Below are 24017 nucleotides of genomic sequence, written 5' to 3'. Positions count from 1 at the left end.
AACCAGCTCCCAGAGACCTACCAGCTGAGGGCATCTGCATGACTTGGTCCAAGAAGACAAGTAGAAGAACCACCCCACAGAGCCCAGCCCAAACTGATGACCCATAGGACCGTGAGCTAAGAATTATTCTTGTTTGAAGCCACTAAGTTTTGGAGTGGTGTGTTAGGCAGCAAAAGCTGACTGATACACTCTGTGAACATGGCTTTCCTTTAACAGCCATCTATGTGCACAAGAAATTATTAACAGTAGTTGCCCTTAGGGAAGAAAACTGCCCCCAGGGTACAGGGGTAGAAAGGGGACTCTTTACTAGGTCCCCTTTGAGACCTTCTGAAATGTAAACCATGGAATGGGTTACCCATGCAGCATAAATTTAAAATAAAATGAAAAGGGGGTCTCTGCCCATTACTCCAGTTAGTACAATTCCACTTGTACTAGAATCTTGTCCTCTGGTCTCCCAGCTCCCCCAAGTCAGAGGGCAGGGCCTGGGGCCCTGCTGTCCCCTCCCAGCACCCCAGCACTCACCAATGCGGTGGGGGGACTTCTCCAGTGCCTCAATCTGGATGTGCCTGGCACCTGCTGGGATCTGCACCAGCTTGAGAGCTCCTGCCACACACAGGGATCCAGAAGTCGTGAGCATCCTAAGCTGGTGGTCCCACTGCCCAGCGTCCCCCACTCCCTCACTGGGCACCCAGGAACATCTCATTTGATCACAGAACCTCTCTGAATCTCTGTATCCTCATTTGTAAACTGAGGATGAGACCTTCTCCATGAGGGTGCTGGGAGGATCGAATGAGACATGTCCTGTAAACTCTAAGGGCCTCCGTGTGTGTGAGAGCTGCTATTACTTCCCTCTTTCCTGACCCTCTTCCTCTCCGTCTCACTTCTGCCCTTCCCCCCGTCCCTTTTTGCTCCTCTGACTCTCTCTCCCTGCTTCTTCTCACACCTTAAGCTACTTGCTACTGATGGGATTTAAATGATAAAGGCCATGAAGACTCCACATGACTGTCCTGAGCCGCCCTGGCCCTCCCGACCCAAGGCCTGGACTTTCTCAGAGCCACCAACCTTGTCCCCAACAATCAAAGGTGAGACAAAGTGTAACATCTCCCAAGGGAAAATAGGCCCCATTTATACTAAAGTGTGAAGGACTGATATCTGGTTCTTTTCCACAGCAAGTCTGGTCAGATTGGAGGTAGAGAGGAAAGTCAAGGAACTCAAAGATACCAGGAATTCAAAGCAGAAAGTGCCACAGGTTTAAAAAAAAATAAGGAAGGAGAGAGGAAAAGAAAATTATCAGTCCAGTCTTGGCTACACCTTTAGATCTGTCTGATGCCTCCCACCCACCAATAGTCCCAAGGTCCAAGGGATGGCCGAGCTCCCATCACAAAACTTTACCTAGCGGGAAAATGTCTCTTGGAGCTCCTGGGCCCCAAACTCAGGGAGGAGCTTGCCTGAAAGGTGAGGTGACTGGCTGCAGCACCTGGCTCACCAGCCTGGGCAGCCCAGGAAGGCCTGGAGATGGGCCCCAGGGCCCCTTCTCCCCACCCCAGACTGTGGCACAGTTCAAGGAGGGAGGGCCCCCTGAGGGACGGCAAGAACTCCAGTCAGCCCTCGTCATCCCCCCAGCCCCAGCCCGGCTCACCTGCCTGCTTGGAGGCCTTGCCCAGCGTCCCCTTCACAGTCCTGCAGTGGGAGTTGTCACCCCCGCAGACTCCACACTTGTCATCCGCCTTCATGGACCCCACCTCCTTGTCACAGCCGACAGGCTGAGGCCAGAGGTGAGGTCAGTGGGAGGAGGCTCCCCTGCCCCCACCGCCACCCCGGGGCTCCCATTCCCATCCCCAGGCCCTGGTCAGGAGAAGACCTCTGGCCTGGGAGATGTCCCTGGACAGGATTCTGGCACGAATTCACCGTGGGACCTGGGTGAGGTCTTACACCCGGCGTGATGAGGATTCTTGCCATCTCCTCTCCCCTCCAATGGGGCTGAGCAATAATTAGCCCCTTCCAGCACCCCAGGGCTATGCTGAGGACCAACAGGGTGTTGCGAGTGGGCCGGTGAGGCAATGCTCATCTTCCCAGGCAGGAGGGGCTACAGTGCAGCCCTCCAGTCTCCCTGTGCCGGTAGTCGGGGTGGCTGGGGGTGCACCCACCACACACTCGCCACGCGCACAGACGCTGTATGGGTCCCGGTAGCTGCAGCGTGTCCCATCGTGAACCACCTGGTTCATGAACACCACGTCCCCCGTGTCCGCCGACTGGCAGATCAGCTCACACTTCTGGGCGTCTGTAGGGAGAGGGACTATGCTGAGTCCCCAGCTGGGCTCAGAGAAAGTGGCCCAGGACAGATCAGTATGTGGTCCAGCCAGAAAGCTCCGGGGCCAGCTCTGGACAGTTGGGGGAGCACTGGGTGTGGCACGGGGGCTGAAAATCCCTGCTGTGTCACTTATTAGCCATGTGACCTTGGGTAAATGCTCTGACCTCTCCCAGCCTTTGTTCCCTATTTTTATTATCCCTAATCAGTAAAATGCCACATCGGCTTATTGAGAAAAATCAAGTGATAAAGTAATAATAAGCCAATGCTTAGTGAATGCTTACTATGTACTAGATATTTCTAAAACCTTCACATGCCCTTAAAATACAGCTTTAATGGCTTTTCATGAATTAACTCATTTAACCCTCTCAACACCTCAATGAGGTAGGTGCTAGCATTACAGAGGAGGAAATTGAGGACCAGAGAGGTTAAGGAACTTGCTCAAGTCCACACAACCACACGATAAGTGGTTCAGCCTGGATTCTAACCTTAGCAGTCTTGCCTGAGTCCTGCTCTGACCCCTACAAAACTTCACTGTGCACATGTATGACATGCGTCTTAACATGTTTGTAAACATTAGAAGGCTGCGTGAAAAAAAGGCAGAAAAGTGGTCTGTATCTGGGTTTGCAAAATGGAGCAACAGTCAGGGAGAAAGAGAGTCCTTTCTGGTCCTAACAATTAAATGTTTCCTTCTTTATGTGGGCTATAGATATCCTAAAAAGGAGGTTCCAGAGCATATATAAACACTTACTGTGCTTCTTAGAAAAAAGGAAGTTGGGGGCTTAGCTAACTTCCTGGAATTCGTCTAACAGTCCTGGGAAAAACCCAAAGTCCAGCTGCCCCACGGGCCTCCCAGCCCCTCCTCTCCCCAACGCTGTGGCTGCTGGTTTGGTTTCTGAATGGATCTGGAAGGCTTTCAAACCAAGATTCCCTCAGCCAATTACTAAGGAAACTCTTGGGCTCTGCTCTGGTCCCTGGGCTCCAGCACAGCTGGTAACTCCTTGTCTCCAGCATGAAGGACTCAAGTCTGGAGCCACAACCTCCAAGACCACCTTGGATTTCATCCACAGGAACCAGATTCCTGTAGGGACCTGGGTCTGGGGGAGCTCCAACCCAGGACAGGCAGGATCCTGACCCAGGCAGGCAGCTCTCTAGGCAGCAACGGAAGCCACAACCTCCAAGACCACCTTGGATTTCATCCACAGGAACCAGATTCCTGTAGGGACCTGGGTCTGGGGGAGCTCCAACCCAGGACAGGCAGGATCCTGACCCAGGCAGGCAGCTCTCTGGGCAGCAACGGAAGCTCTCTGGGCAGCAACAGTGCGAAGGGAGTGGTGAGCTCCCCAGAGTAGGAGGAATCCAAGCAGAGAGAAGACACCCCCTGCAAGGATGCTCTGGAAGAATCTGGCAATGACAGGCCTCTGAGGTCCCTTCCAACCTGAAGAGTCTGTCATTCTAGACCAGAGCTGAAGAGCTGACAGTTCTGGGGTGGAGCCCAGGCTCCAGGGAGGAAAGCCCGTCCTGATGGGAGCTGTCTGGGCCAAGAGTTGTGTGATGGAGAATGAGCATCTGTCCATGGAGGACCCATGGAGAGGCTGGCAGGGGAAAGCTGGAATCAGAGGATCATTGAGGGCTCTTCCAGCCGAGGCTCTGACTTGCCACGAATCCCAACCCTTCACTGGATGCTCTGCCGCTATGGAGCCATCACTGGAAACACTCAAAAATAGATGGGAACTGGCACCACTATGGTCCCCAAATTCAGACTCTTTACAGGAGTCTAGAAGTCCTGTGTATGTCCCAGGGCAGCCTAGAGAGTCGTTATGAAGATCCCACCAGATCCTATCTGCGTGCCTTCCAAAATCATCTCATCGACTCTGCTGAAACCACAACCCAATCAGTAAAACCTAAAAACACAGCGTGTAATAGGACTGAGCTCCTCAGGACACTGGTCATGCAACGGGAAGGGCGCCTGCACCTATATAATTCTTCTCCCTGCAGGTAGGGACAGAAGACGAAAGGCAGGCAACCCTAACAGCCAACACTGCTGCCGGCCTTGGCAACACCTGTGTGTGAAGTGTCCCTTCCTCAAGACACTTTCCTTGCATCTGCCAGAAAACTGTCATCATAAGTACACAAATCAGGGATGGCCTTGATGGGGATGATGACCCCAGAAGTATACCAAGAACAGGCCTACAAAAGGGTATATGGTGAGCCCGCTGACTTCAGTGTCCCTTTTGGCACCCCCACTGTCCCTCCACCTTCACTGGTGTATGTAGGGGTAGGAGGCCCTGCCTGGGCACACACAGCCCCCGCAGATGCCTAAGGACATGGAGTGGGAGGGGGGTGGGGCCCACTCACCATCGTCAGGCTCGTAGGGCACCCAGCTGTGCTTGGCATTCTGGTGCACATAGTAGGAGTTGCGCTTGGCACACTGCTGGGCCCGGAAGTCCTCGTAGGTCCCAGGGCACTCCTCGCTGTTGCAGACCTGGTACTCGAACATGGGCCCTAAGCACAGGCGGCCTCCATAGGCTGGGCTGGGACAGACACAGAGAAATGGATGACCTTGCTGGCTGGGAAGGCTGGGGAGGGCCAGGTTTCCCACACAGCCACCAGGAGCAGCTCAGCCATTCATAATAGCATGACAAGGGCCTCCACTGACATAAACCAGAGAATGGCTCCCAGGGTGGGGGCTGTGGAGCTCAGCTGAAGAGCTATCCAGATCCTTCTTCCTCCCTGACTGCTTTACCCTTCAGACATACACCACCTATTCCACGGTGAGTGTGACGGACAGATGTACAGACTGACACAGGGACTGACTAACCCTCTCCAGCTGGACTGGAAGAGAAATCCATCTTACTCATCTTTGTGGGTGCCTTCAACTGTTTTGCAGGCCCTGGCATAGAGCAGGCCCCCATAAACGACTCAGCCACTCCCATTTGCATCAACTTCCACTTAATATCATCATAAACTAAGGAGTGGTAAAAGAAACTTGGATTTGGAATCAGAAGAGCTGGCTTCCAAGTCCTGACAGTGCAACCTTGGCCAGGCCACTTAGCCTTGCTGTGGCTTAATTTCCCCTTGAAAACAGGGACTATAATCCCTCTTATTTTACTCACCTCCTGGTGTGTCTGTGAAGAATAGTAAGAAAAGGTATTTTATAGTCATCTATGCTCTCTTCTTCATTAAGTCAAGAGGATTGGGTAAGACTTGATACAAAGTGTCCAAGTGCTGGGGTTAACAGTACCCTACTCATAGACATGTGGGAGAATTGCACAGATTTTTGTACCTAAGTGCTTAGCATCCCACCTAGCACAAAGTGCTTGACATACTATAATAATGATTACTATAACAGCAGCTTTCATTAAGTATTTAATTTGTGTGAGCATGGTGCTGAGAGCACACATATTATTTCATTTAAGCCTCATAAAATAAAAATAGTTGTTATTACACAGGAGCTCAATAAATGGTAGCTTTGATACCAATTATACCAAGGGATAATTGTCGGTCATGCCTGCAAGGTGATTTACTCAGAACAGGGACCCCTGGGCTTTTCTATAACCACAGACTTTGTATTCCCGACAGATGAAAGTTACAAGGCAGTCCATTTTGGTTCATGTGTGTAGAAGGTCAATATAGCTGTCCATATTAACTATACGGCTATATTCTCTAAAACAAAGGAACAGCTGCTTCAATAGGCAGTGAGTTTCCCATCCCTAGCGATAAATAACAGTATGAATGACCACTCCTGAGGACACCAGAGCCACTGTGACCCTACAACTTTGCGATTCCGCAGTCTTCATCATACCCCTCAGTGCTGTGAGGGGTCAGGCCAGGCCCTGTTGTTGTGGGGGTTCAGAACTCCTGCATTCCTAGAGCCAACCAAGCCATGCAGCTGGCCTTGGCCAGTCCCCATCTCCCGTGGTGCTGTTCTAAACAGGCTGCCTCTGCTTGGAGATGGAGATGGAGAACTAGGGCTCAGATATCCCAAAACCATGGAGTTGGGGAGAAGGTCCCTATAGAGGGGATGAGAAGGGAGAATGGACATCTCCCCCAGAATGCTAAAACTCAGGGGTGGGGAAGAGGGGAAGGAGCTTTGATGTTAGAAAGAGTTAAGAAAAATTAAAGGGAGATTTTCTCCATGTGGTAGAAAACAAAGTTAGGAAATTGATTCTTCCAACAAAGAGCTTAGATCAGTGTTTCTCAAAGTTTAGCCAGAGGGTCGGGGTCATGAGAGGACTTGTTACACGCATGAAGAAGTAGGGCCACCCAGACTCTGGGGAATCTTCTGCGCATGAGCTTGAGAACCACTGGTTCAGACAAACGCACAGAAGGCAGACCTGAGGGTTCTTAGTGGATGCAGGTAGGAGTGATCTGCCTCCACCAACAAGTTTGTGTCCTCATGCGTTAGCATACACAACCACCCACAGGGGCCCTTCTCTCCTGCACTGTCTCCCCAGTGCCTTCCCCTCCAAGCCCCTCCGCCCTGGGGAGGGACTCCCTGCCCTCCCCACCCTAGCCAAGCACACTCACGAGGGGTTGTTGCAGCTCCGGCTGCGGGATCGCACCCCGCCCCCACATGACCGCGAACATGACCCAAACTTGGTCCAGGAGCTCCAGCCTCCATCCTGGCCATATGTCTGCTCCGGCGACTTCCAGATGCAGTGACCTTTGAAGCACCACTGGGGCAGAGCAGAGGGCATGAGGTCACCCTGGGCTGCTGCTGCTGAGCCCACCCGGGGAGCCAGAAAAAGGGATAGCAAGAGCATGAGCCTGGGTTTAGGCAGAATCCCACCCCTAGCATGAGCTGAGCAGCCTTAAACAAAAGGCTTGCCTTTCTGGGCCTGTTCCTCAACTGGACAATGTGGGTAACTGCACCTGCTCATAGCTTCTGATGAGATCATACCCAGTATACAAGGCCCTCCAGAAATGGCAGATCTTATGATGAACAGTGATAATAAATGTGCAATTATCGGCACACCCGGGAGTAATAAAAGGCTGATAGGGGAGAGAAGACACAATCTTCCCACACTAGCTAGAGTTGATCTTGGCTCTGTATCTCAAAATCACCTTCCAGGGATCATGAGATGTGCTTCTGGGAGGCAGACCAGCCATGCAGGGAGGTCTGTGCATGCAGTGGAAGGAGTGTATGCATGAAGGATTCCTGGGTTTGAATCCCAGCTCAGCAATACTAGCTACGTGTGGCTACTTTAGCTTGCTGAGCCTCAGTTTACCCACCTGTTAGGTGGGACTGCTCTCATATCTATACAGGCCTTAGCACAGGGCCAGGCAATAAGGGAGGGCTCAACTAGAGGCAACTCCCTTCCCTTTTCCTACAGGGTAGCATGAAAAAAATGCACAAAGCTCTCTGGGCAAAGTTCATCTCCCAAGAGATGAACTCAGTGGCTCTCAACCTTGGAATCACCTGGGGAGATTTTACAACTTCAGATGCCTGATCTTCACCCCAGACCAACTGAGTCAGAATCACTAGGGGTAGGAACTTTTGGAGGCACTATAATGAGGTGTAATTTACGTACTATAGAATTCACTCATTTCAAGTATGCAATGCGATGACTTTTCATAAATTCGCAAAGTTGTCCAATCGTCACCACAATCCAATTTGAGAATATTTTTATCACCTCAAAAATATTCTCCGTGCTCATCTGCAGTCACTTCTTGTTCTATAGGAGGGGTTTTAAAACTACCAGGATGATTCCAATATGCAGCCCAGATAGAGAACCACTGATGAACTGTCTCGTGAAACTGTGGCTGGGGAGGGTCTGGAACTTTGAAAACACCTGGGAAAACTTAAGAAGTGGAAAGACCTGGAACAGCTATAACCCATCAAGGACCTGCCAGGCCAGGGGAAGCTCCATCCACCTGTGACAGGACAAGCCCCAGAGCTGCTCAGCAGGACAGGTGTGAATAGGAGGAGCCTGGCTAGGGCAGGAGGCAGGGGGCAGGCTGGTGGGGTGGCCCTGGGGCTGGGCTCCTGCTGATGCTGAGGAACCACCTCTCCTAGCACCTGGCTTCTTCCCTGCTCCCTCACGTGCCTTGACATGAGTCAGTTACCTCAGAACAACCCTGAGGTTGGTCAGGTGTTGGCGAGTCAGAAAAGTTCAATGAACGGCCCAAGGTCACCACAGTGATCAAGGGCAGGGCCGGCAGCAGAGCAGAGCTGGGTTTCAGACCCAGCCACGGGGTCCCCCGGGCAAATGAAGCCCTGGCACCCACACATGCATGAGGGAGCAAACACAGGACATTCATGAAGGAGGTTGGTGTGGGGAGAACACGTGTGTCTCATGCTCAGAGACAGCATAGGGGTGGGGGAGTAGGCAGGACACACAGAGATTTCTCTGCATCCCTTCTCTGCTAATCACTCCCTGAGGGACCCCATAAAGTTCCTTAATCAACCTGCCTGGGCCCCATTCTTCTCATTGGTAAAATGGAAGTAAGCCTTCCTGTCAGATGGGCTAGGAGATCATGCTACCCTCAGCCAATTACAGAGACAAAGGGCTGTGGGCTGGGAGAGAAGACAGGGTGAGTTTATGGGAAGACTCCACGTGTATTTACCCACACACTGGACTCACCACTGTCTTTTAGCACCACCCTCAACTCATATAAGCACTTGGAGGGAGGGGTCAGGGTTCACTCTGGGATCCACCCCCATGCCAGTGATGGATGCCCTGCACCCCAGGAAGGCCACTCCTGCTGCACACCCCACAGGTACCTTGCCGGGTGCACACTCAGTCCCATCCAGCGGGGGCCCCTTCTTGGTCTTGCAGAAGTACGGGTTGTCAGGATGGCTGCACCACAGCTGCTTGCAGGGCTCAAAGGTCCTGAACTGCATGGCAAGGGAATGGGGTCACCAGACTGGACTGGCTCTTTGTCCAAGAACAAAGGGTAGTGATGGAGAGAAAAGAGGGTGTGATGAGTGCAGGCACCCAGGGCACTGCAGGGAAGGCAGCCAGAGCCCCTCACCTGCTTCAAGTTTACTCAACTCCAAGTACCGGCAGCCTCCAGGGACCCCTCCTTTCTCCATGGCACTGAGAAAGAGCCTAGCCATGGCCCATGCTCTTGTCGTTCTCTCTCCAAGGCCTCCCTCCCCCGCTTTACAGAGGCCATTTGTCACTGAGCTGGGACTAGGGCGTGAGGCTCTGGGGAGGTCTGGGTTCACAGTGCCCCTGCCCTGAGCCCTGTGCACATGGGGAGAATTAAGGGGACTGCTGCTTTCCAGCCCAGACCCCCCCCACCCCAGCACTCCAACGAGGCTGGGACTCCACCTCCCTGTAACTTGGACACCCAGCCATGCCAGAGGTTGATGACCTTACGTTTCAGATTGTCCAGAGAAGCCATAGCTTCCTTAATATTCCCTCTTATCCCCTGCCAGCCAGACAAGCATCCTACAAGTACAGCATTTGGACCCTGAAATCCCATGTCCTTGTCCTCTGCCCACAACTCAGGCACTTTGTCAGACCACATGTCCCAGACAGTGGGGAAGGTGTCCACACATGGTTGGGGGCGCTCCCCATTCCACGGAGGTGAAGAGAGCTGCATTCCCTGATGGGTAGTATGAAGCACTCAGGTCCCCAAGGCCTGCCCCCTTCAGAAAGCCCCCTACCCCTGAGATGGCCCATTCTCTGACAGCTCAGCCTGGGCCCTGGGTGGCAGCTGCTGAGTTCTCTCCTAGGGGACTCTAGCTGATCTCAGGCTCAGCAGTCTTCCCCTGTGCCATCCTGCAGGGTAGGGACAAGGTTATGCTCCCTTGTATCTATGTCCTCAGGCACAGGCAGCAGGGACATGGAACTGACGCTCTGGAGAGAGGTGATGTGCAGGTGCAGAAGGTGGGGAGTTAGACTGAAAGACTTGGCACATCCCCGGAGGGTGTGGGACCTGCTGCTCCACCAGGCCAGAGCCCAACAACTTATCTGGAACCTGGGCTCCCTTGCAGTATCCAGACAGTATCCCATCAGGTGCCCACCCTCTCTGCTCTGCTGTTCCCATCTTTCCCAGGGCTAATGCATTCCCAAGCCACTGTGTCCACCTGCCCCCACAGGTGTTCACTCTGCATCCCTGCATGGTGGCTGGCACTGTGTCTGTGGGCCCATCACCAGGCCCACTGGCCAGCTGGGCAGAAGGCACCTCATGAATGGTCAGCATGGGCCACAGAAGGACACTGCCCTGGCCCCCAACCACCTGGCAGAGGCCAGATGGCTACTTACTGCCAAGCAGGTCTGGTAGCCACTGCCAAAGTCAAAGCGGCACTGCTCATCCATTGAGTAGTTGATCCCAGGCAGCTCTGGGGGCTGGGGCCAGGCAGGATCAAAGGGGTCATCGAGGAGGCAGTCGTAGGAGCTGCCAGTAGAGACAAGGAAGGTGAGCCAGGCTGACAGCAGGAAGTCCCAGGCTTTCCCTTCCCAGGGGCTGGGGTTTTCATGAGCAAGGCCTGCAAGAATTTGCACCCGCTATTCTGTTCCCAGCGCTGTCTCTTCCAGGGAGGACGGGCTGCCTTGAGCAGCCCCTCACTCAGGACCTCACTCCCACCAGTGACTATATCTGGAAGGGCTCCATTTGCAGCCAAAGGCAAGGGTACCCAGACTGGGATTAGATACTCAGCTTGCAGCTGGATTAGGAGGTCATTTTGCCCACCTTAGAGGGACACGATATGGCCAAGACTAATGGTTGATTCATAGACAGTTTGAGGACTCACTCTGTACTGAAAGAAGGAGAAAAGCCTACCATGCAAGATGGACCCTGGGCGAGCCGCCCTGGCCAGCTCCTGTACGGGGCTAGTGACTATATCTCTGCCTCCACCTGCCCCCATCCAAATCCACTTGGCCTCCCATTCTCAGGCCTCAAGGTCCTGAGTCTAACACTTGCTCTGTACCTGAACATCCTTGAAGACCCAGGAGCTGACCAGCCAGGCCGGAATTGGGAGTGTGCTGCTGGGGCCAAGGATGGGAGTGGGGAGAGGAGGAGCTCCCTCCTCAGCATGCCCATTTCCTTGGGGCCTGGGGGAAAGCCACAGTGGCACTGTTCATCCATTGAGAAGTCGATCCCGGGCAGCTCTGGGGGCTGGGGCCAGGTGGGCTCAAAGGGGTCGTTAGGAGCCACTGGGTTTAGAGCCCCAAGCCTCAGCCCAGTGGCTCATAACCTTCAGCAGGCATAAGTATCACCTGCAATGCTTGATAAATCCAGCTTCCTAGACCCAACCCCAGCAGAATCTAACTTACCATCTTCCATGAGCCAGGGGGTCTGCATTTTTAATAAGAATTCTATGTAAATGGTCACCTGAACACGTTCTGAAACACTAGACTAACCCACCTGCTATGCTAATGGGGTATGTTTTAGGCCAGGTTTGGCGGGGAGGCGAGATGAGTCACGGAAGAGTCAAGCCAGGGGCAACGTGGGGAAGCCAGCCAGCTGTGTGATGTCTGCTCAGAGTGGCAGGTCGCATGCTCCCCTATCCCAGCTCTGAGGGCAGGAATGACCTACGGGAGGTAGCGGCTGAGCTCCAGCTTGCTGCAGCGGGACCAATGGAAGCGGTGGAAGGCAGCCTGCACCAGGGGCGCCATGACGCTGCCCAGGCTGGTCTCATCTGCACAGCCATTCCCCTGACCGTCATGCTCCATGCCGAGCCTGGAATGGGGAAGACAGAGGAGTCCTGATACATCCCAGGAGCCTGCCCCGGGAAGGCAGGCAGGCAGGCAGGCCAGCAGCAGGAGACCCTGACCTGACCCGGAGCTCAGATCGCTCTTCCTGGCCTCAGTTTTCCAACCACGTAGTGGGGAGGACCAATCTTCTCTCCAAGGCTGCTCCCACTGGGACGGGGCTCATCCTGCCCTCCAAGCCTTCGCTCCTGCTGTTCACCACTCCCAGACACCCACCCCTTCTGTGAGCTCCACCCATGTTCTTACAGCTTCCAAGGCCAGATCAAGCCCCACTCGGCCACTGGTCCTAGCTGTCTCACCTGTGGGCTCACCTCCACAGCAGGAGCCATCTATCCCACCATTAAAAACTCATAGCCATTCGCTGGCTTCCCACAGAGGGCCTTTGAGTGCAAAGACCAGGTTTCATTCAACTCAACTCAACCTCATTTCTTGAGCCCCTGTCAGCGCCTGCCTCTTGAGCCTCTCCAAGACTCTGCAAGGCTGGGCACAGAGCTTTGCACATGGTAGGCACCTACCATAATAAGAGTTTACATTTAAAAGTTTGCTCTTCACAATTAGTCATTAATGCCAAATCCCAAGAATTCTAAGTTCTTAAACATTCCCAGATGGCTGCATCTGGCTTTGATTGCTAGGCAGATACACAGGCCTATAAGCTTGACCTTGTGTCTCCACAGGGAGGGGCCTCAGAGGTTCCCCTGGTGTCAGCCCCATGTTGCAGGTGTGGAGAGGAGGTCCCACCTGCCTGGAGGAGCAGAGCTGGGATAAAATCTAACAGGGCTGATGGTGTCTCTTGGTTCTGCCCCTGTGACATGGCATGACCTACTGAACAGTAGCTCATTTGTGTCCACCCAGCATGTAGCCTCTTGAGGGCTTCTCTGTCCTGATCTCCACTGTAGCCTCATTCCTAGAATGGGGCCCGGTGCATGGTAGGTGCTCAAGAAATATTGAATGAATGAACACACTCTAAACAAAACCCAAAGCCCTAAGATCAGGCAAGCCAGCCTCTGCCTGGCCTACCGCCTAAGCTCTAAGTGCACCTGTTTACAGTGGGCTCAGGCCAGCACTCCAATGAGTGCTGAGTATCAGGGTGGGCTGGATCAAGTCTTAGAAAGGCCTCAAATGTGGACGTGATGGAGGGAAGCCAGAGATCAAGACCACCCAGAGAGAGCAGGCCTCTGCGTGTGATGGGGACACTGCCACTGACCCACCCAAAGGCAGGGCCACATCTGGTCCCCTATGGCCCTGGGATTTGGAGGCTGGGCCCAAGGCAGGCCCAAATTACTACTCATGCCCCTTGGCTCCTCCTAACTCAGGTTAGGGCCTCCCTCTACTGGTAACTGCAGGAGGCCATGCCGCAGTGGCAGTCCAGCTCCTCTGACACCTCCCAGGACACTGGAACCAGGCCAAGCTGGGCAAATCCTCCCACAGCCACAGAATTCCCTGGAGCTCACGGCACAGCTGCCAGTCCCACCCACCGTGCTGCTGCCACTTACACGTGGCCGGTCTCATGAGCTATCACGAAGGCTGAGGAGAAGCCATCCTCATGGTTGAGGGCACAGCTCCTCAGGGGGTGACACATGCCAGTGACGGGTGCATACCCTGCCGAAGAGAGAAAGAAAAGGTGGAGAGCGAGGTGGAGGGCAGGTGAGGCAGGACACACTGAGGTCTGTGCCCAGCCCAGCCCTCTGGTCAGTGCTTGGAGTGGGGACGTTCCTGGAGGAAGACAGATGCTCACAAAGTCCCACCTGCAGCCAAACAAACCTGGGCCAAGCCACCCTCACATCCTAGGGCTTGATGGCTTCCCTCTTGGCCTGCAGTTTCCCAGGGTTTATCAGCGCCCCTCTAAACCAGAGAACACCCGGGCCTGCAAACACACTACTTCCACAATGCCTCCCTCCAGTCCCACAGTCAATCAGCAAACAAGCTCCGAACACTTTCTATGCAGGAGTTGGGGGCAGCATTATGTTAGGTACCAGGGGGAAAACAGGAGACTCAGATCCGAGCCTACCCCGACCCTGCAACACCCCGCTACCCACCCACCACCACAGCTAAAGAACTGTGGTTTGGCAGGGAGATCACGTGATGAGGCATGGGCCAGAAAGGCTAGAATTCAAGAAGCAAGCCAGGGTGCAGCGGGGGAGCTGGAGGAAGGGGAAAGGGAATGGTTTGGAAGGAGTTGAGGGGGACCAGGAATGGCTGATGGAGGGCAGTGAAGGACAGCTGAGACAACTCTTCAGAGGTGGGGAGGACACAGGCCAAGGTGCAGGCAGGCCACACAGGAATCATGGCAGTGCAGGGGGGCCGGCACCAGCTAAGCACTACCATGCATGAGGCCTGTGTCCTAGGGGCCTCCAAGGTGGGGGTAATGACAAAGGGCATGTCCCTGCCTAGGCCTGCAGTCCCCCCAGACAGAGCTATTCCTTCATGTTAGAGGAGCTGAAATGTTCTTTTATTTGACATGGTTTGGGGAGTATAGCAAGAGGCTGAGTGGGAAGGAGGTTTCTGGGGCCTCTGTTGTCCTGGAAGGCTGAGATTTGCTCTACATGTGATATACATGTGTGTGCATGTCTGTGTCTATGTGAGTGCCTGTGCATGCATGTACATGTGTCTTTGTGTCTCTACATGTATGCAGTGTCTCTGTGTGTCTGTGTATACGTGTGTGTTTGTATATCTGTACATGTACACACTGGCTTATGTCTATTTGCATGTGTGCATGTGTCTGTGTGCACATGGGCCTGTACATGTGTGTGGATGTCTGTACGTGTGTGTGTGTGTGTGTGTGTGTGTGGTGTGTAAAACCACATTTGGGGCTTCAGTCATTCAGACAAGAAATTTTTGGGTAGGCAGGGCTGACCAACTGATTTCCAGCATTAAAGCAGAAAAAAATAGAAAGCCTTCAACATGGAACCTGGAGATCCAGTTTGAGTCTCACATCTGCCTCCTGTCTGCTAAACCACATGGGCAAGTCTCTTCACCACCCCATGGCTCAGTTTCCCCATATGGGTATCAAAGCTGCATGTTTGCAGAGTATTTACAATTGTCAATACTCTGTCACAAACATGTCATGCACCCCCGGGGCCTTTAGCAGCCCTGGAATGGGGGAAGGCAAGTATTATGATGTTCCCCATTCCACAATTGGGAGGACCCAGGGAGATGAAGAGATCTTGGACCACTGGGTTGGCAAGGTGTGGAGCTGGAGGCAGAGCACAGACTTCCTGTTCTGCAGCCCACACAAGCCCCATCTTAGGTGTCCCACAGTCTGCAATGAGGACAGAAGGACACAGTGTGGAGAGAAGCATCTTGAAGCCCATGGAGGGTCTTCCAGCAGCCAGGCTCTGGGACATTAAGCACAGGACCCAGGGCCTGACCACTCACAGCTGCCTGCAGCCTCCACCAAAATATCGGGGACAAGAGTAGGGACCCCTCTACTTCCCACGGTCCCAATAAACCATTGCAAAGCTCATCCTCGGCTGTCCAGGTCCCATCCCTTCAAACCTCCATGTGGTGGGCCCCAGAAGAGAGCCCATCTGCCTCCAGGCCCAGCCTCTGTCTGCCGTGCATGCTGCACACACCTGGCCATGGCAAATACAGTACCTTGCATACCTGAGGGCCCAAAGTCCTGCCGGGTGAGGAACACAACGTGGTCATGGTGCTCAGCGTGGCTGGGGTCCTGGCGCTGCTGGGAGTGTGCCCAGCGACACACCTGCTCCAGGCTGCGTGAGGGGTTCCCGCGCTCGATCAGGCTCAGGGACTGCAGGGGCCGGGAGAGCACCAACAGCCACGTGGAGGGTCAGAGCCCTAGAAACAGCAGGCCTCTCTCCTCCCACTTACAGATGGGAACGCTAAGGCCCAGAGGACTGCAGGACCCACCCCAAGATCACCAGCTGTCCCCACTCAACTGCTGCTGGCACACAGCCCTGCCTGCTTTCAGGGATGATCACGTGCCAAGCACCATGCTGAGATGCGTTTCTGCCGGGAACTTCACACACACAATTTCCAATCCCTTCAACTAACCTGCAAGGCAGGTGCTGTTCTGAGCATTTCCTCTATACTTTGCATTCATTGCTTTATTTAATCTTCACAATAGCCCTTACAGGAAAGTTTGGTGGCTACCCCCATTTAATAATAGGTGACTGGTAGTCTAAGATTGCAGAGCGCAGGGCACCAGGGCTCAACCATAACATGACTTGTCTCAGTGGCCACCCCACTGTAAGCCCCAGTTTCCCCAAGAAGAGGGATCTCCCAGTGATAAAGGTGTGGAATCGTCAGTTTCTCAGATTGTAGGAAACCATAAATTGCTGCTTACCACCTCCAAAGGCTCCATCACTGAAGCCACAATTCTAATAGCCTCAAGTTCTGATTCTGGAAACAGATTCCTGGATGCTTACCCCTGCAGCCCACACCATTGCTGGTCCAACACTCTGGCCCCACAACCCTTCTCCCCGCAAACCCTGCCTGCTGACAAGGTGGTTTACCTGTCGGTAGCCAACCATGATCAAGCGGACGAGGGCAATATTTATATGAACCCCCAGGGACTCATCGTGGTAAATCTCATCTACCTGCAAGAAGAAAATACAGTTTAAGGGAAGGAAACATTCATTACAAGCCTACTGCATGCCAGGTACTGGGGTAGGTACCTAACATATGGTATCCCCACCGTGACCTTATCAGGCAAGATACTTATCCTACTTTACAGATAAAGAAACTGAGACTGAGGGGGCAAAATGACCTGCCCGAGGACACACTGCTAGCAAGCTGCAGAACTGGGATTCACATCTTAGACCATGTAATCCCAACCATGAGCTCTTTCCACAAAGCCACATTGTAGAGGGCCTGGTCTCAAACTCAGCAACTCTGACCAAGACTCATCTTTCCACGTCTGGAGAGCCTCTTCCAGACAGGTCACCTGGCTCAGGGAACCACAGGCCACTCGCCCTAACATCCCTGTGTACCGTTCCAGTTGCCACTGGCATAATGTCTGCCCTACAGTACCCCGGCCCTGGGGAGGCAGCAGTGGGCACTCCTCCAGGAGACATACTCCAGGACCTTGGAGCAGCAGCAGCACCTGGGAGCTTGTGAGAAATGCAGAGTCTTGGGCCCCACCCCAGGCCTCCTGAATAAGGATCTGCAATTGAACAAGATCCCCAGCTGACTGGCAGGCATAGGCAAGTTTGAAGAGCACTGCTCTAGATAATCCCTTTTTCTCACAGGCCCAGGACTGTGGGCCAGTGCCCTGCACAGCTCATCAAAGAATGCAGCCCTTTGCACTCCTCTGCCAGGAAGCTCCTGAACAGTGTTCATGAGGCGGACACTCAGCCTCTGCTTGTCCACCCTAAAGGAAAGGGAGTTCACCCTCTCCTGGGGACACCCATTTCCTGAGTGGTCCCATTGGATACTCCAGCTTTTTTGTTTTAAATAACCTTGTTTATGAATACAAAACACCTCACTAGAAATAAAAACTGAAAACTACAAAAAAAGAAAATGAAATCACCGACACTACTATTAGTCAGACTTAATAATAACTACAGTTAACCTGCATCATGCCACGTGTGTACATGCATGCATCTTATTTTACAAAATTGGAATCATACTGAATATACTGTTTCTATGTTGCTTGTTTCATGGAACATCATTCAATACATTTAAAAGCCTAATCTTGACCGGGCATAGGCACGGTGGCTTATGCCTGTAATCCTAGTGCTTTGGGAGGCCAAGGTAGGAGGCTCACTTGAGGCCAAGATTTTTTTTTTTTTTTTTGAGGTGGAGTCTCGCTCTATTGCCCAGGCTGGAGCGCAGTGGTGCGATCTCGGCTCACTGCAAACTCCACCTCCTGGGTTCATGCCATTCTTCTGCCTCAGCCTCCTGAGTAGCTGGGACTACAGGCACCCGCCACCACACCCTTCTAATTATTTTGTATTTTTAGTAGAGACGGGGTTTCACCGTGTTAGCCAGGATGGTCTCGATCTCCTGACCTCATGATCCACCCGCCTCAGCCTCCCAAAGTGCTGGGATTACAGGCGTGAGCCACCGCGCCCGGCCGAGGCCAAGATTTTGAAACCAGCCTGGGCAACATAGTGAGACCCTGTCTCTACAAAAAAATGCCACTGCCGCCATCAGGGATGTGATGCCAGCAGTGTGGTCAGGGATGTGATGCCACCAGCATGGTCAGGGATGTGATGCCAGCAGTGTGGTCAGGGATGTGATGCCACCAGCATGGTCAGGGATGTGATGCCAGCAGTGTGGTCAGGGATGTGATGCCACCAGCGCAGTCAGGGATGTGATGCCACCAGCGCGGTCAGGGATGTGATGCCAGCAGTGCGGTTAGGGAGGTGATGCCATCAGAAGTGGAACCCAGCCTCTGCCTCCTGCCCACATGGCTTCCTAGGAGCTGGGCCGGAGCTCCATGCATAGTCTTGCTCTCACTACTTCCATCTCCCCATGCCCTTCAGCCATCAATTCTTTTCCACTCAAAAGCAAAGTGATCAACCTACAACCCACAAAGCAACCATTGTCCACCACACGGAGAAGAGTAATAGCACTTCCAACCACACAGGCGTGACAGTCCCATGGCAAGGGGTGAGCCAGGAGGGGAACAGGAGATGTACGCTTTGCTGGCATACCCCTTCTGGGCCAGCCAAGGAGGCAGCCAGGCTGTAAGCACGAAACTGTGGGCAGCAGAAGCCGCGTGCATCACCAAGCCCCAGTCCCAAGCCACTTTCCGCAGTGCCCAGAACTGGCAGCTGCCCCAGTTCATGAATGGGCAGACTTCAGAGCAGCCGGTGTCAGGCTTCAGCCATGGGCCTTCCTGGCACCCATATCTGGATCCAATTGAGTAGCAAGACCAAAGACCAGCACCCACTGAGGGGAAGCAGCTCCCTGCCAACACCCCACCACAAGGAACAATGCCAATGCCCACCACAAGAAATGACCATAGTCCAACGAGCAGCAGGGCTTCCTTCCCAAACTCCTCCCCTCCCCAGTGGGAGTAAAGTGCTCCAATGCGTAGAGACAATGTCCTCCTCAATCCACACACCCTAGACTTATCCTAGGAGGGACTTCAGGGTGGAGTAGGGGGCACCCAATCAGTCACACACACACATAGGCTCCCTGGTGGAATTCTAAACTAAGGAGTCTTTGCTGATCACTGAGATGATCATGGATCTGCAGTAGGGTGACCCTTAAGTAACCCTTACTTCCCAGCCCCTCCAACACTGGATCACGGCCTTCCTTCTGTACTGGGGTGGGTAAGTGTTGCAGACCTCCCTGAGTGCACTATAAGCAGACTAAGGACAGGATCACAGGCAATGCACGCTCTGCACAGCCACATCTGTGTCCCACGCATACTCATGTAAACCCATCAGTTATCCCGGGGGCAGGAGAAGAAAGGAGTCACTGGGACATTCAGCGGGGGCATCTGCTGGGCCTCTGGGCATCTGGAAATGCCCAGGGCTGCTGCCTTCCTCCACGTGTCTTTCTTGTAAGGCAGACCATGTGAATTGCTGCCAGACTCCTGCCATATTTCTCATTTCTGTACCTCACTCAACAGGCCAAACCCACTCATCAAAGCCTCCAATGACCCTTGCTCCAACAGCTGCCATCTCCAGCTCAGGACATTGAGAGGTCCTTACAGTGGGACTGGGCAGGGGGCTGCTGCCTGTCTGAGCAGGAGATAGAATCACAGCTCATCTGTCCAACATTGGCAGGAGGTGGGGTGAGGCCCCCTGATGCCACTTCCCACTCCCTGGTAACTGGCCTAGATGCAAATGCTATGTAAACAGAAAGGGACAGCCCATCTGGAGATACCACTGAGAAGCAACCCGAGACCAAGGGCTTCAGGTGCCTGGTGTTCTGAGTTCTGCAGCTCAGGCCCCCACCCCCACCACCCAGCTCCAGGATCTGGAGAAAAGGGAAACAGCGTCTGGGCAGGAGGGCTCAGGGAAGTCTCAGTGGAGGAGCTGGAACGATCCCTGGACCAAGAAGGTTGTGGGCCCTTAAAAGGAGAGGGGCAGAGGCTTGCAGCAGGGGAGAGGAAGGCATGAGCCACGTGGGGCCACCAAGAGAACCCCAAGGTCACTGGCAACCAAGGTAGCTAAAGTCAACTGCTTTGGTCTGAATGTTGGTGTTGCCCCAAAATTCATATGTTGAAATCCAACTCCCAAGGGAATGGTATTAGGAGATAGGGCATTAGGGGGTAATTAAGTCATAAAGGCAGAGCCCTCCTGAATGGGATTAGTGTCCTTATAAAAGGAGCCCCTGAAAGACCCCCTCACTCCTTCTACCATGTGAGGACACAGTGAGAAGTCACCATCTATGAACCAGAAAGTGGGCGGGCTCTCACCAGTCACCAAATCTGCTGGTGCCCTGATCTTGGACTTCCCAGCCTCCAGAACTGTGAGAAATAAATTTCTGTTGTTTCTATGCTACTCACAGGATATTTTGTTACAGCAGCCCAAACAGGCTAAGCCATCCCCCTCCATCTGACAGGGAATTTCTTCCCAGCCAGTACTCACATGCACTGAATAGTGGGGAGTTTTTCATCATTGGAAAGTTCCCTGGGGCATGAGACCTGTTCAGCCTTCCCTTCCACGTCCTCTGCTGGCCTTAAGTCTCCTGCTGGCAGTTTCACTGAGCATGTCTGCTCCCTTTCTGGGGACGGACAGTGACCGCAGTCTCTTATGGACTTCCCTGTAAGCACACCTCCGTCAAAGAGAATACAGATCACTCACCAAACGGAAAACACTGTATTAGCACCATCTAAGCACCGAGATAAAGAAACCATCAACCTAGAATCCTGAACTCACAAAACCATCTTTTAAGGACCATGATGAAATGAAGACATTATCAGATAAACAAAAACTGTTACACAGACCCCACTAAAGGAATGGCAGGGAAGATGGAAAATGATCCCAAAAAGGAAGCCTAAAGCACAAGGAGAAGTGAAGAGTTTTGAGGCTGTGATAGAAAAGGAGCTTGGCAATGAGAAACAGTTGGGTCTTTTCTTATACTAAATAAGGATGATAAAAATAAACTGCTTTTATTTTATTCCCTTTCTACCCCATTAAAAAAAAAGGTGGAGTTAGCCCTTCCATTCCAAGTCCCCTGTTGCAGTCCTCTGGCGCCCTGGTACGCTCATCTGCACACACCCCTGCCATCCCCAGCCCTTGAGTAGGGACCTCAGCGTCTTTGATTTGGCTCAAGCTGCCTGAGACTTTGCACAGGCCAAGAAGGTGGCTGGACAGGGCTGCCATGTCTGGTAGAACTGCAGAGGCCGTGTGACACATGGCACCATGGCCAGGACCTCAGCTGCTCTGGAACATGCACAGGTAGCTCGCTGACAGACTCCAGCCTGGCTGTGCACCCAGGACCTGGCCCTGTCTGCCTTGGCCCTCCATGGCTGCCTCCCAAACACCAGAGGTGAGGCCAGGGAGCTAGCTCAGGGGAGATCACGGATCGCTTCCCATGGTTGGGCACGAGACAGGATGGCTACGAGGCACACCCACAGGGCAGAACAGAGCAGTGTGTCCAGCTTCCCTGCTCCTCACCTCTGAGCCAAGTTCAAAGTCACCTCTGCGCCATGTTCAAAGTACCTCTGCCAGGACCCCTACATTAGGATTCAGCACCACATATTGACCTGAGATAACCACTGGGTATGTACCAGAAAAACAAGCAAAAGTCAGGACACTCTCTGACCAAGGGAAGAAAAGGCAGCACAAGAGAAGATGGTAGAGGGTACTGGGATTAGAGGGAGGCACTGCTACTCCCCAAGCACCTACTGTGTGCCAGGCACTGTGCCAAGGGCTTGGCATACAGCCTCACAACAACCCTATGGGGAGAGGAATTATTTCCGTCTCATAGGCAAGACATCCAAGGTTCAGAGAGGGTAAGTAACTTGCCCAAGGCCACGCAGCTAGAAGTGAGAAGGCCAAGAGTTGAACTCAGATTTCTGTGACTCTCAGGCCCACTTCCTTAGCCACTACACTCAGCTGCTGTCCAGAACCAGTTTCTGTGGCAGGGTGGCTGGGGTGGGCTTTCTCTGGCCCAGGAGAGAGAATGAGGAGCGTTTACAACTCAAGAAGGTTGTAAAAGGTCCACTCACTGCTTGGTAGCCAGGCTCGGGCAGGTCTTAAACAGGGAGAGGTGGAGGCCAGTGCTGAAAAAGCAAGACCCTGGGGGTATTAAGCCCACCCGCGCTCAAACAGAAGCAGAACACTCATTGCCACTAATGGCTGGCACAGCCCACAAGCGCCTCCTTGCATTGCTTCACTGAATCCTCGCGGCGAATGGCCTGGAATTCCTATTATTCTAAAAATAAACTTTATTTTAAAATAACTTTAGGTTCAGCTAAAAGTTGCAAGGATATTACAGAAACTCCCCATACCCAGTTTATTCCAAATGTTAACATCTTCCATTACTATGGTATGGTTGTCACAGTTAACGAACCAATACTGACATGCTGTTATTAACTAAAGTCTACATTTTATTCAGATTTCTCTAATTTCCCCCAAATGTCCTGGTCCCATCCAGGGTGCCACATTCCATTTAAACTTCCTGTCTCCTTAGCCCCTCTGCTCTGTTTCTTCTCTGTGACAGGTTCTCCCACCTTCTGGTTTTTGATGACCAGCACTGAGTCATCAAAAGTCTTGAGCAGCACTGAGCAGGTATTTTGTGTCCTTCAATTAGGGTACGTCTGATGGTTTTCTCATGGTTAGATGGGGGCTATTGGGGAGGAAGCCCACAGGGGTAAGGTGCTTCCTCATCAGGCCATGTCAAGGGTGCATGATACCAGCCTGACTCATCACTGTTGCTGTTGGCCTTCATCACCCAGCTGAGGGAGTGTTTGTCAGGTTTCTTCACTGAAAGTTACCCTCTGCTCCCTGATTTCCATACTGAATTCTTGAGAAGAAAGTCACTATGTGTGGCCACATCTAGGGAGTGGGGAGTTAAAATCCACCTCCTTGAAGACGGAGTCTCTACATGAATAAACTGGAATTACTCTGCATGGGAGATTTGTCCCTTCTTCGTTTATTTATTCTATCATTTATGTTATCAGTATGGACTTTTATCTATTTTATACCTTGGGCTATAATTCTCTGTGATTTGTTTTGTTGCTCAAATTGTCACAGCTTTGGTGGTTGAGAGCTCTTTGAGTTGGGTCCTGTGTCCTGTAAACACACCCCCATGGTTTGGGGATTTGGGGTATGTTTTTTAACACTTCATTACTTTCTGGCTCTAGGAGATGCTCCGGGGTCATCTTGCATATTCCCTGCCCTAGTCCCAGAGTCAGCCATTTCTCCAAGGACCTCCAAGGAGGATGGTATGCTATCCCTGTTTTCAGGGATACAGGCAGGCCCAAAGGTATACGGAAGCTTGCCTGAGGACAGCAGTCATTGTCAGAGGACAAGCCCAGGCCTTGGAAAACCTGACCTGCTCATACACCTTCCCTGATCACTTACTGCCTCTGAACCTGGACAGATGTGGGCAACATTGCTTGAAGACAGAGGAATGGCCACAGTGACCCCTCCTGTCCTTTCTCAGTCCTAGGGAGACGACAGCAACATGGAGTCTCAGGCCCTGGACCAGCCCCTTGGTGTGCAACCCTGGCCCTTCTCACAAGGCACAAGGTGACTCTGCAGACCATGTGCTCTAGCCCCCAGCACCCCCAAGACACATGCTGCATCCTATTGAGTCCAGTAGGCTCCTCTTTTTCATGTTTACAATCACTGTTAGCCAGGGGGCAGCCCAGGGGTGAGTGTCACTGCCAGTGCAAGCAAGAGCCTCTGTCATTCCTGGTGGCTTCACAACCACAGCCTTCGTCATTTCAGGTAACAAACTATCAGAGGCAGGAATGTGAATCCTGGGTGTTGTCTGAAAACCTCCCATTGACACCTCCCAGTAAAATCAATCTGGCTCCAGCATCAAATCCACAGGATGCTGTCCGTAGCTTGTATGAAAATCCAAGGATGCCAGTGGAGCCCTCAGGTGGCACCATCCCTGCTCTCGATGGCAGGCAGGGCAATGCTGCATGGAAAGGTCACACACTG

General features: G+C 52.8%; 1 protein-coding gene across 11 annotated transcripts in view, besides 5 other annotated features; it reads right to left on the bottom strand.

Moving 5' to 3' along the window:
* ADAMTS14 (ADAM metallopeptidase with thrombospondin type 1 motif 14) overlaps positions 1 to 24017 on the bottom strand; it is an 89936-nt gene that overhangs the window by 16613 nt on the left and 49306 nt on the right. For 8 of the 11 annotated variants that reach the window (XR_001747025.2, NM_139155.3, XM_011539300.3 and 5 more), the window contains 11 exons: positions 16452 to 16535; positions 15571 to 15727; positions 13470 to 13575; positions 11801 to 11944; positions 10528 to 10660; positions 9036 to 9149; positions 6839 to 6987; positions 4667 to 4842; positions 2148 to 2281; positions 1640 to 1763; positions 523 to 603 (listed from right to left, as the gene is read on the bottom strand). Coding sequence is in view for 10 of the 11 variants with exons in the window: in NM_139155.3 (NP_631894.2) it covers positions 523 to 603; positions 1640 to 1763; positions 2148 to 2281; positions 4667 to 4842; positions 6839 to 6987; positions 9036 to 9149; positions 10528 to 10660; positions 11801 to 11944; positions 13470 to 13575; positions 15571 to 15727; positions 16452 to 16535 (1402 nt within the window). In the remaining variant the exon portion in view is untranslated. The other 3 variants (XM_011539301.2, NM_080722.4, XM_011539309.2) reach the window with 3 other exon arrangements.
* Positions 258 to 427: an enhancer, noted in NCBI's record as "experimental_17317 CRE fragment used in MPRA reporter constructs". NCBI's record gives its function as "activates a minimal promoter by MPRAs in K562 erythroleukemia cells, with activity observed for the introgressed 10:72505243 variant allele {active_cell/tissue: K562}" and the evidence as "EXISTENCE:reporter gene assay evidence [ECO:0000049][PMID:34662402]".
* Positions 1959 to 2762: an enhancer, noted in NCBI's record as "H3K4me1 hESC enhancer chr10:72502823-72503626 (GRCh37/hg19 assembly coordinates)". NCBI's record gives its function as "activates a minimal SCP1, AML or CMV promoter by ChIP-STARR-seq in naive H9 embryonic stem cells {active_cell/tissue: H9 hESC(naive)}" and the evidence as "EXISTENCE:reporter gene assay evidence [ECO:0000049][PMID:30033119]".
* Positions 3002 to 3296: an enhancer, noted in NCBI's record as "tiled region #12298; K562 Activating DNase matched - State 5:Enh, and HepG2 Activating DNase unmatched - State 4:PromP". NCBI's record gives its function as "activates a minimal TATA promoter and a strong SV40 promoter by Sharpr-MPRA in K562 cells, with weaker activation in HepG2 cells {active_cell/tissue: HepG2 | K562}" and the evidence as "EXISTENCE:reporter gene assay evidence [ECO:0000049][PMID:27701403]".
* Positions 6502 to 6671: an enhancer, noted in NCBI's record as "experimental_17283 CRE fragment used in MPRA reporter constructs". NCBI's record gives its function as "activates a minimal promoter by MPRAs in K562 erythroleukemia cells, with activity observed for both the introgressed and non-introgressed 10:72498999 variant alleles {active_cell/tissue: K562}" and the evidence as "EXISTENCE:reporter gene assay evidence [ECO:0000049][PMID:34662402]".
* Positions 7807 to 8306: an enhancer, noted in NCBI's record as "H3K4me1 hESC enhancer chr10:72497279-72497778 (GRCh37/hg19 assembly coordinates)". NCBI's record gives its function as "activates a minimal SCP1, AML or CMV promoter by ChIP-STARR-seq in naive H9 embryonic stem cells {active_cell/tissue: H9 hESC(naive)}" and the evidence as "EXISTENCE:reporter gene assay evidence [ECO:0000049][PMID:30033119]".

The sequence above is a fragment of the Homo sapiens genome, chromosome 10, assembly GCF_000001405.40.
Source record: "Homo sapiens chromosome 10, GRCh38.p14 Primary Assembly".
Lineage (NCBI taxonomy): Eukaryota > Metazoa > Chordata > Mammalia > Primates > Hominidae > Homo > Homo sapiens.
This window is presented reverse-complemented; position numbering and strand designations above follow the sequence as displayed.